The following is a 12,107-nucleotide window of genomic DNA, read 5'->3' as shown; positions in this document are numbered from 1 at the left end:
GACATGGTAGGAGGTAATTGAATCACGGGGGCAGGTCTTTCCCTGCTCTTCTCATGATAGCAAATAAGTCTCATGAGATCTGATGGTTTTAAAAAGGGGAGTTTCCCTGAACAAACTCTCTTCTCTTGTCTGCCACCATGAGAGACATGCCTTTCACCTTCTGCCATGATTGTGAGGCCTCTCCAGCCATATGGAACTGTGAGTCCATTAAACATCTTTCTTTTGTAAATTGCCCAATCTCAAGTATGTCTTTATTGGCAGCGTGAAAACAGACTAATACATACTCCAAACCTCAGCATTACACAATACACTTTTGTAACAAACCTACATATGTACACACTGAATCTAAAATAGAAGTTAAAAAAAGTTTAACCCTGAAATATTTAAATAAACAAATAAATAAGATGTTAAAAAATCCTGTAGGAATTTAAATATGACATAAGTGATTTTTTCCAATGACATAGAAATCTATTTTTACAAAGACAGTTGAGAAGAAAAAGAATGCATTGGTGTTTCTCCATAAAATTCTTGAGAAAAACTTTTGCTAGTGTTTGGAAACAACTCCTGGAGATAAACCAGATTGATAAGACTTAATCCTCAAGCAGAGAGAGCCAATTTATCATGTTTCCAGAGTATAATAGCAATGTTCCTCAAAAACAAGAAACTTCTTTATTGCTCTCTGTGTCCCAATCTGTCTATTTAAAATATCTTCCCCTGTTCACTCCATCCCATACCTGCCCCAATTATTCTCTATAATATTATGCTGTTTCACAATTGTCATATAAATCACTACTGTCTGAAATTATCTTTTCAGATGTTTATTGGCTGTCTCCCTCCATTAGAATAAAAACTTTATAAGAAAAAGAGCACTGCCTTGCTAATTTAGACTATGCATGCACCCTCACACACACACACACAACTTGTAGAAGAGTGGTTTTCAAATACTGTGTTCAATAAATACGTGAATTAGTAAGTGAGCAAAAGTCACCAAATAATGCTGTAAGTTTTGGAAGCTAGAAGAGAGAATCATTTGCAGGTAATTGCCTCTGCATTTGTCAAGATGTGGCTTCCTAGTAATATAATAAATTGGTATTCTGGATCTTAACTCAATTGTTTGTAAGTTTAGGAAGAAATGTCATCTGAGCCTTACCATTTCTGAGTGATGATACAACATAAGAGATTTTTGAACCTCCTGACGTAAAGATGAGATTAAGATACAGCTATTTCTCCTGAGACATAGCCTGAAACAGTGAGATGCCCCCCCCTTTTTTTTTTTTTGCTATCTTCAGTGCTTCAGCCCACAGTTGTTCTAACTTTACCAAGAGAATAATAATTATATTCCAGTGACAGTTATGGAAAATAAATATTATAAAGTATCATCTTTTAAAAGCCCCTTTTCATTTCTTTCTTTCATTTGCTTTTAAATTAAAAAATAATAATTATAGATTCACCACAAGAAGTTGCAAAACAAAACAAAAAGTACAGAGTACAGGAACATTTCTGGTACCCTTCATCCAGTTTCCCACAATGGTGCTATTTTTGAACCATGAATATGGAAACAGAAAGTAGGATCTGATCTGTCTCAATACATACCAAAATGAGAATAAATCTCATGCCATTTTTCTTCATTTGCTCAATCAGAAGACTGAGGTTTTGAAAGTTGGCACTGAGGGTGAAATCCAGCTTCCGGTTCATGTAATCGATGTCTACATGCTGGACGTCCTGCAGAAAGAAGCAGCAAGGCTCTTGGAACCCTGCAGTAGGTGCCCTGCAGGGCACATTAACTGCTCTGCCAGGCCCCTGGTCCTGCTGCCTGCCTGCCCCATTCCAGGCCCCTCTTCATTCCTCATCTCATTACTTCCCTCTGCTGACTTTTCAATTCTGCAGATTGAAATTGCTTTCTGATGCCTGCATGCAGTTCACCTGTGCCCACTCCTTCTCCTTCTGTTTCCCCAATTGGAACTCTATCCCCTTTCCTTTCCTCAATTCATGTCTTTCCCACTCTTCAAATCTCAAACTCAGTCTATCAAACAAAGTTCTAATTGAAATGTTCAAGGGTAGAAACTGGGACTTTCCTAGGAAACAAACAGGATTGTATATCTGGGGTTTTTTTCTACAGTAAATCTGGCTGATTTTTAAAAACTCTCAATAAACTAGGTACTAAAGGAACATATCTCACAATAATAAGAGCCATAGATGACAAACCCACAGCCAATATCATACTGAATGAGCAAAAGCTGAAAGCATTCCCCTTGAAAACCAGCACAAGACAAGGATGTCCTCTCTCACCACTCCTATTCAATGTAGTATTGGAAGTTCTGGCCAGGGCAATCAGGCAAGAGAAATAAATAAACGGGCTAGGCACGGTGGCTCACGCCTGTAATCTCAGCACTTCGGGAGGCCGAGGCAGGTGGATCACCTGAGATCAGGAGTTCAAGACCAGCCTGGCCAATACAGTGAAACCCCGTCCCTACTAAAAATATTTAAAAAATTAGCCAAGCTTGGTGGCCCACACCTGTAGTCCTAGCTACTGAGGAGGCTGAGGCAGGAGAATCACTTGAACCCAGGAGGCAGAGGTTGCAGTGAGCCGAGATTGCTCCATGGCACTCCAGCCTGGGCAGCAGAGGGAGACTCCAACTCAAAAAAAAAAAAAAAAAAGAGAGAGAGAGAGAAATAAAGGGCATTTAGATAGGAAAAGAGGAAGTCAAACTATTCATATTCGCAGATGACATAATCCTGTATCTAGATACTAGATCTTGTCATATAGACAAGATCCTATATCTAGAAAACTCCATCATCTCAACCCAAAAGTTTCTTAACCTGATAAGCAACTTCAGCAAAGTCTCAGGATACAAAATCAATGTACAAAAATCTCTAGCATTTCTATGCACCACCAACAGTCAAGCCTAGAGCCAAACCACAAATGAACTCCCATTCATAATTGCCACAAATAAAATACCTAGGAATACAGCTAACCAGGGAGGTGAAAGATCTCTACAAGGAGAACTACAAACCACTGTTCAAAGAAATCAGAGATGATACAAACAAATGGAAAAACATGCTCATAGATAGGAAGAATCAGTATCATTAAAATGACCATACTGCCCAGAGCAATTTATAGATTCAATGTTATTCCCATTAATCTACCATTGACATTCTTCACAAACTAGAGAAAACTATTTTAAAATTCATATATGTAACCAAAAATGAGCCCGAATAGCCAACGCAATCCTAAGCAAAAAGAACAAAGCTGGAGGCATCAGGTGATCCCCCTTTAAACTATGCTACAGGGCTACAGTAATCAAAACAGCATGGTACTGGTACAAGAACAGACACATAAATCAATGGCAAATAATAGAGAACCCAGAAACAAGACCATACACCTACAACTATCTGATCTTCTACAAACCTGACAAAAACAAGCAATGGGGAAAGGACTCCCTTATTCAATAAATGGTGCAGGGAAAACTGGCTAGCCATATGTAGAATGGAAACTGGACCCCTTCCTTACACCAACATACAAGAACTACATTATTCTATAGCTTTCTTGAATGTCTACCCTCTCTATGCAGTACCAACCCAGGTTTCTGCACATGAAACTTACTCAAACCATGATTGTTGAATAATAACTAAAGTGATTAATATTTAGTTGAAAAAAAGAACTTGCTTCTTTTTAGCCCAAAGGGATAGTCCCCTGCATTGCCATATGACCCTAGGTGAAACTTGTTTGGTAAAACAGAGACTTGTGCATAAGCCAAAATTTGGAAAAGAATAAACCAGCAAATTATTAACGTTGATTACTTTGGTAAGGTAGATTTGTGGATTTTTTCATCTTGTAATTTTCCTATTTTCTAATTTCTGTTTAATAAGTACATAGTATTATAGTATATACAAAGAAAAAAAATTCAGCCTGAATGTATCAAGTTATCTTTGATAAGAACATCATAGCACTTCTAATATAAAATTAGCCACAAATTCCTGTAACTAATTACACCTTGGGCTGAGTGAGGGTTTCATACATAGGGAATCTGGGCTGCCACCATTGCATCATACAAACTGGAGATTTCAGCATCATTCTGGTATCCATAGCGACTCAGATGGAATCCCAAGGCCCAGTATGGAATCATTGCTGGCCGACCAATCAACTAGAATAAAAAGAAAAATGCATCCAGAAAGATTTCTTAGGGAAGACAAGGTGATTGACTTATACTTGAATCAACTTGAGTGTTTCTGCTAAGTACTGTATAAGAGGCCTCACCCAAGAAAGATAAGAAAGTCCAACAAATGTGGAGCAACTACAGACATGCAAAATGATAGAAACGTAATTGAAGTTTTTCTGTATTCCAGAGTTTTCATTCTAGGAAACCTGAGAATTTGCCGGTTATTACTGATTAGCAATTCTTAGGCTGTTTAGCAAGTGAGGGACACATGGGATATTAATATGGCTTTATAGAACCATAATACTAAAATATGATTTCAGCAAAGGCAGTAATAATCTAGTAGTGACACTCAAGAGTCAAAAGAAAAAACTGCCCTATCTCAGTGCTAATAATGTGGTAATAGCCAATAAATATTTGACAATATATTGATGGACAGAATGGCTTCTAACCTCTGTGTATTGCTGAGTTACAAGTTCAGGGGTTGGCCCCAAAACAATGTAGAAGTCCAAAATCCCTCCTGTGGTGCGGTATGTCAGAGCAGGAGTGGGCTGTAATGTCACATCTGTAAGAAAAACAACACACATGAGGCACATCCTTGGAGTTGTAAATTGCCCAGATAGAAAACCTGCTCTAAGATTTGCTTTCTTCATACTCTGTCTTTGATACATGCCTTCTCTAGAAAGTCTTCTCTCATCCATTAGAATCAGAGGTGTATTTGCAGGTACCCCAAATGTAATATGCAATCTCAACAACTTTTATAACTCTGTGAATGGGAGCCAAAGTGTCACAGTAAAATAGGCTATGCCAGAGTAGGAGCCATAACTGATCAAAATTCCATGCCTAACACCTGATCCAGAGTTCTTAATAAATCTTGAATAAATAGGTGAATAAATGGAAAGTCAGTTTATTTGTTCCATTTCCCTTGCCCCCTGAATGTCTCTATTTCTATTGATACCAGGTCAAAATAGAGCGGTCACAGCTGTTTCTGGTGGTGCATGGGAGCTGTGCCTATGCCTTACCCATGGCATTGCTATTTAGCAGGAGCACTCCATGGGCACTACCATCCTCCTCCAGTGCCATGTAGTAAGGGTGGACACCATAGGAATTCTTCTTGTACTGGGAGTCACGAGGGTAATAAACAAAAAGAAAATGCAAGATATTGTTTTCATACCATAACCCAAACAGCAAACTCTTACTCATCATTAAAGATTCAGCTCAATGTCATGTCCTTTGTTGGGCCTTCATTGACTCTCCCTTCTACTCCAAGTTAAAAGCTGTGTCTTCCCCACTTCATGCCTTCCTCATTTATTATTATATAATTCAATTATGTATTATTACATAATTCAGTGATTCCACTGTGCTATCACAATTTCTGCGTCTATTTCTCTCACTAGCCTATAAGTCTCTGGAGAGCAAAGACAGTGTCTTATTAAATGTACAGATAAGCACTTAGCAATGTGCCTGACAAGTAGAATATATTAACTAAAAGTTTGTGAGATAAATAAAATCCATAACTGACAGAGGGAAATATATACATATTTCCCTCTGTCAGTTGTGGATATATATATATATATATATATATATATATATATATATATATATATATATGCCTTTTAGGGACAAAAGAATGTGACACGTGCTCTATTACAACTGAGAGCGGAATTTATCAATATAAGATGAGGTTGATGAGCAAGGTATCATATATAAGCATAAGGATTAAAAGAGATTTACATAAAGAGAAACTGATTGCTAAACTTATTCCTTTGTCCCTACCGCAGGTGGCTCATCATGAGCAAACATTCCCCATGTGTTCCAGTTCATGTTTCTTCTGAAAGTCGTGTGCTCAGTTTCCCCAAAGCCATAGATGTACTGGGACGGCAGACGCGTAGAAATGGAGAGAAACATGTCATTGAAGATGAAGCCAGGGAGTTGAGAATCCCAACTGCAACACAAAAGCAGATCACGCTGAGCTGGAGACCACTGGCCAGAGCTACTTGGAACGTGTTTGGAATGTCTAGTTGATTCCAAAGCCTCCTTAATTATTGCACATTTAGATCCAGGTTCAAATACTGTGACATGACCCAGGTCATAACAATGGCCCTGACTCAGGACCAAAGTTCCATGTTAGATTTCTGTTCTGTGGTTTGTCAGACTGAGAGCTCCTTTTCTGGGTCCTTGTGGGCAAGGGCCATAACTCATTCTTCTATTTATTTCAAGTTCTCAGTGCCTGGAATATCAGCTTGAGTAAATATATAAATAAACAAATAGAGTTTAAGCAAACTTTCCAATAGAAAAGCATGAAACTCTTAGAACAACTTCTCTTGAGTTGGCCAAAGGACTTCTTACCAAAGAGGGCAACAGAGAGGAAATCACTCACACAGCCCAAGAGAGAAGACATACACAGGAAGGCAAAGGTGCACACACAGGTGACAGCTTCTACTGGGATAGGGAACCTCACCCCAGGCAAAATCCAGACTTTCACTTCATTCTATTCAGCAGCAGGACAAGAGATGGGAGATGACAATTCCTTTTATGCTTAACATTGTGAAAAGGCTTGAAGGCTTCTGTGTCCACAGAAGCAAACGTTACAAGAAGCTATTTCTTTCTCCTTTTTAACCTTTGCCCCTCTCTCCTGCCTCTTATTATTTCTTAATGAGACATAATATGGAACTCATTTGTATCTTAGGTTATCTGCTGTACTTATTAGAGTTTTCTGTTCTACTTAAGAACAGTAAGTAGAACATGTATTTTTCTTTCTCTGAAATCAAACAATACTTCATTTCTTTAAACTTTGATTGATTATTTTTGTTAATGACTAACCAAAAACAAATTATCCATTAAAGCATGGGAAAAATAGATATACTCTAACAAATGCACACCTATTTCCATAGAGTCTCTGAGATTAATATTTCACTTGAATTAATTGTAACTGCTGTAATTAAATCTAGAACTACTCTAATTAGAATCAAATAAATAGTGCTTACATCACAGTGCTGGAGTTTTTGCGTTGAATCTGGATTCCAAAAGGATTGTTCTGAATCCTGACATCATACAGACGGTTTTCAGGGTCACCAACTGGTTGGGGAGGGGTGTTCAGTGGTACTGGAACCTCATACCTTTTATTAGTGGGGTCATAGATCTGGCAAGAAGAGAGAAGAAAACTTTCTGTTAGGGTCTCAGACCTAAAACCCCTCATGCCACCCCATATAATTCAGTTTCCATGTTTTTGACCAGTTTGCACCATATCAGTAGGCATCAAACATCCCCAAGCGAATGGATGTGAGGCCTGCCTGCCCACTGTGCCCCATACAGATGCTGAAGTTCAAAAATTGCCTCAGTAAAACCCATTCAAAGCCAAGGAGGGCTCTTCTTCTAAAGAATCTGTGATAGAAGGGGATAGAATTTCATAAATAGAATGTGTGTGTATATGTTTGTAAGTGTGTGGCATGCAGACATGTATGTGCATAGAAATGTGTAAATTTGTGTGTGTGTGTGTGCATGCATGTTAGGAATTAGGGAATTGAGTTTTCATATGGACTCTGAGATCTCCTCACTGTTTGAGCTTCCAGATGTTGTACAGCTTTCCCATTCCTAAAGTTTCTCTTCTGTATCCACCCCTTGTTCCTACTTATGTAACAGGACTGAAGTGTGGGAAGAATAAAAGGAGTGAAAAATGTTATGGAAGGACAAGGAGTTACAACATTATGAGTGACTATCCTCTTTGTCATATTATTAGTCCCAAATTTGTGCTTAGGTGAAGGTTTTCTTCTTTCTTTTTTTTTATTTTTATTTTTAGATGGATTCTCACTCTGTCGCCAGCTCGGAGTGCAGTGGTGCGATCTCGGCTTACTGCGATCTCCACCACCCAGGTTCAAGTGATTCCCATGCTTCAGCCTCCTGAGTAGCTAGAACTACAGGTGCGCACCACCAGGCCTGGCTAATTTTTTGTATTTTAGTAGGGACGGGGTTTTACCATGTTGGCCAGGATGGTTTTGATCTCCTGACCTCACCTGCCTCGGCCTCCCATAGTGTTGGGATTACAGGTGTGAGCCACCACACCTTGCCAGGTGAAGGTTTTCTAAAGTCCTGCTTGGAAATTATGTTTCTTAGACCCAAAGCAGCAGCATTGCCTGGGAGCTTGTTAGGAACGCAGAACCTCAGGCCCCAACCCAGATTTTCTGAATTAGAACTTATATTTTCACAAGCTGCCCCAGTGATTCATGATACATTAAAATGTGGAAAGCAATGGCTACAGCTGAGCTGTCCAAGGTGCTGTCCACAAGCCACACATGGCCTTTGAGTGCCTGACATGGGCTAGTCTGAATTGAGATTCACTAGAAATGCAAAATATACACCAGATTTTGAAGACTTAGAATAATTAGAAGATGGCAAAGTAACTCCATTAAATTTTGATTTCAAGGTGAAATGATAATATTTTAGCGCATTGGTTAAAATATTATTAAAATTAATTTCCCTTTTAAAATATACATTTAAAAATGCATCTACTGGAAGATATGTGTGGCTCACATTATGTTTCCAGTAGACGTATTTTTTAAATGTGCATAGCGGTAGATCTCAAAGTTTGGTCTCTTGACCTGCAGCATCAGCCTTACCTGGGAGCTTGTTAGAAATGCAGATTCTCGAGGCCGGGCGTGGTGGCTCACGCCTGTAATCCCAGCATTTTGGGAGGCCAAGGTGGGTGGATTACCTGAGGTCAGGAGTTCGAGACCAGCCTGGCCAACATGGTGAAATCCTATCTCTACTAAAATACAAAAAATTAGCTGGGCGTGGAGGCGGGTGCCTGTAATCCCAGTTACTTGGGAGGCTGATGCAGGAGAATCGCTTGAACTCGGGAGGCAGAGGTTCCAGTGAGCCAAGATCGCACCACTACACTCCAGCCTGGGCAACAAGAGCAAAACTCTGTCTCAAAAAAAAAAAAAAAGAAAGAAATGCAAATCCTCAGGCTAGGCCCCAGCCCAGGTCTACTGAATTGGAAACCCTAGGGGTGAGGGCAAGAAATCTGGGTTTTAAAATGATCTGAAGGTGATTCTGATGCATGCTGCAGTTTGAGAACTACTGCTAGAGAAAATAATTCTAATATTAGAATTAAGTTAATGCCTCTCATGTGAGTTTGCCACAAAGCAGATCCATTTTTCTCAGGGCTAAATGATGATTCTTTGATGATGTTTATGACCTAGAATACTCATCATTATAGGGAATTCATGGTCCTCATAGATCTAAGGCCACATCCTGGCTTTACCGTCTACTTTCCGACCTTTACCTCTCTACAGGCCTTAGCTCCCTCATCCATAACATGAGGGATTTGGATGAAAAGCTGTTTCAGCGAGGCACAGTGGCTCATGCCTGTAACCCCAGCACTTTGGGAGGCAGAGGGAGGTGGATTGCTTGAGGTTAGACATTTGAGACCGCCTGGGAAACAAGGCAAAACCCCGTCTCTACAAAAAATACAAAAATTAGCCAGGTGTGTCGGAGCACACCTATAGTCCTGGCTACTTGGGAGGCTGAGGTGGGAAGATGGCTTGAGCCAGGGAGGTGGAAGTTACAGTGACCTGAGATTGTGCCCCTGCATTCCAGCCTGGGTGTCAGTGGGAGATCCTGTCTTGAAAAGAAAAAAAATGTTTTAATTGTTTCAATGACTTCTATCCATACAGCACTGTAAATTAAAAACTCCATCTTGAGAACCAGAATCTGCAACATGGGCCTTACCTTGACCTGCAGCATGGTTGCTGTGTGATAGATCACTTTCAGGTGGAGGAAGCTGATCTTTGCAGAGAGAGAATCAGAGGCGGCAGCAGCAGCTGACTCAGGGGCCATCGGGAGGGAAAGGTCTGCAGTGATGCTGGTGTTCAGGTACTGAATATCACTAGCAACATAATTAGGGATGGTGTCATAGTAACAGGTGGGCACTCCAGGAGTAGATGTGTCCTGGAATAACAGGAGAAAGTCTTGCTCAGCCTCTGATACAACACTAAGGCTCTCATTACTGAAGAAGTTGGTTAACACAGACTAAGTCTCTAATACCATGTCCATGGTTATGGGTTGAATTGTGTCCCCTAAAAAAGATGTTAAGTCCTAACCCCTGATACCTGTAAATGTGACTATTTGGAAGTAGGGTTTCTGCAATGAACAAATTAAGATGAGGTCATTGGGATAGGCCTTGATCCGGTATTACTGGTATCCTTATTAATAAGGAAAATTTGGACACAGAGATAGACATGTACACATGTGACTATGAAGACAGAGAGTGGGATGATGCATCTACAAGCAAAGAAATACCCTCAAGGTCCTCAGAAGGAACCAGCTCCACTGACACCATGATCCCACTTCTAGACTCCAGAATTTTGAAGGAATAAATTCCTGTCATTCTATGCCACTCAGTTTGTGGTACTCTGTTATGGTAACCCTAGCAAATGAACACATCCATTTTTTTAAACACACACACTGACCTTCTATAATGAGTGAACCGTGACAGAGCACCAGGAAGTTTGATAGGGAGACAGGAGCCTCCAGGCAGGGTTCTACTCCCAGTGTTCTTATTGCCTCCCATGTAATCTAGAGGAAATCACTTGGCTTCCTAGTTTCCATTTTCTCTGTTGTTCAAATAGACAGGAACAGCCTGACCTTACCCTTCCTGCTTGTGTTCTCCAACAGACAAAACAAGATTGGTTAAAATAGACAATGCATAATGCATACCCAATGTACATTATTATGTTTAAAATTGGGTTTTTAATGATATGGTTGGAGTGGCAATGAGAATGGCAATAAGTTTCTTCTGATTTGGGATGTCTGAGGAAAATACTGATGACCTATCATGTAGAGTTGGCAAAAGGCGTGTTGCACAGGGTCCTGGTTTTCTTCAAGCCACAGACATTTGAAAAGTGTTTTCTAGGTGCCTAATTACTTCCTAATCAATGAGGTAATCTGTTTCTGGTCATTTACCTCCCAAAGACACCCCCGCTGCCTACAACTCTCCTCAGAGGCTGTTGGATCATCAGGGTAGCAGTTGAACTTCTCCAGGTCACTGACAGGAAGATTCCACCTAATAGAGAATTCTTGTCCCAGTACCAGTCCTTGGAGATCAGTGATGGTTACCACCTGGGGAAAGAGACAGTCACAGTGACAAAGGAAGGGAGGGAAAGCCACCCAGAAAGAGTTCTTGGCTGGAAGTCTGGAAGTCAGGACAAGGGCATCTATTCCTTCCTCCAAAACCATTTTGCCATGAGATATTCAGAACTTGGCTGATTCCTGGGTTTTCTCACTTCATGGAGTCATTGTGGAAGTGTTGGATGGGAAGAGTTTTCATCATGCTAATGAGTGCAGATCACAGGCAGGACTGTCATGGTTAGGCTTACTGTCCTCTGGGTGTGATGCTTACCAATTTAATAAAAGTAGTAATAACAACAATAGCTAAAGTTTATGGAGCATTCATACAAGCCAAGCACTGTGATAACCACTTTATAAGCATGATCTCCATTAATCCTAGACAGCAGTTCCATGCTGTGAATGTTTTGACTATCTCCATTTTACAGAACAGAAAACTAAGATACAGAGACACCTAATACCCTAAGAGCTGAGATTGGAGCCCCATTCTGCCTAACTCTAGAAATCAAACTCTTATTCTATGCTATAGGTCTTGTCAACATGGAAGGGGGCTGATCTAAGAAATAACAAATTTCCCAGAACTTGAAATATTCAACTAACAGTGTAAGGGAATCATTCAGTAAGAGCAAAACTGGATTTCTCCTTGCGTTACTCCACTCACATTTTATTAATGGTATGAAAATAGCCTAAAACGGTAAGGACAAATATCAACTGTTTCTCAAAGAGATTCTCCCTTCAATGAGAGGACCAATGTGTAAATACCCATTGCACAATCTATTCACTATGTCACAGCTGGGATCAGAGTGTCTCATTTTAACTGCGCCC

General features: G+C 40.1%; 1 protein-coding gene across 6 annotated transcripts in view; it reads right to left on the bottom strand.

Annotated features, from left to right (window-relative positions):
• MGAM2 (maltase-glucoamylase 2 (putative)) overlaps window positions 1-12,107 on the bottom strand; it is a 110,607-nt gene that overhangs the window by 44,951 nt on the left and 53,549 nt on the right. For 4 of the 6 annotated variants that reach the window (XR_927547.3, NM_001293626.2, XM_011516692.3 and 1 more), the window contains 8 exons: window positions 11,121-11,276; window positions 9,888-10,106; window positions 7,145-7,299; window positions 5,934-6,102; window positions 5,180-5,276; window positions 4,610-4,722; window positions 4,020-4,145; window positions 1,594-1,722 (listed from right to left, as the gene is read on the bottom strand). Coding sequence is in view for 5 of the 6 variants with exons in the window: in NM_001293626.2 (NP_001280555.1) it covers window positions 1,594-1,722; window positions 4,020-4,145; window positions 4,610-4,722; window positions 5,180-5,276; window positions 5,934-6,102; window positions 7,145-7,299; window positions 9,888-10,106; window positions 11,121-11,276 (1,164 nt within the window). In the remaining variant the exon portion in view is untranslated. Of the gene's footprint in view, window positions 1-1,593; window positions 1,723-3,992; window positions 4,146-4,609; window positions 4,723-5,179; window positions 5,277-5,933; window positions 6,103-7,144; window positions 7,300-9,887; window positions 10,107-11,120; window positions 11,277-12,107 lie in introns of those variants that run through there. The other 2 variants (XM_024446997.2, XM_011516694.3) reach the window with 2 other exon arrangements.

The sequence above is a fragment of the Homo sapiens genome, chromosome 7, assembly GCF_000001405.40.
Source record: "Homo sapiens chromosome 7, GRCh38.p14 Primary Assembly".
Lineage (NCBI taxonomy): Eukaryota > Metazoa > Chordata > Mammalia > Primates > Hominidae > Homo > Homo sapiens.
Note: the sequence above shows the minus strand (reverse complement) of the source record. Positions and strands in the feature narration are given on the sequence as shown.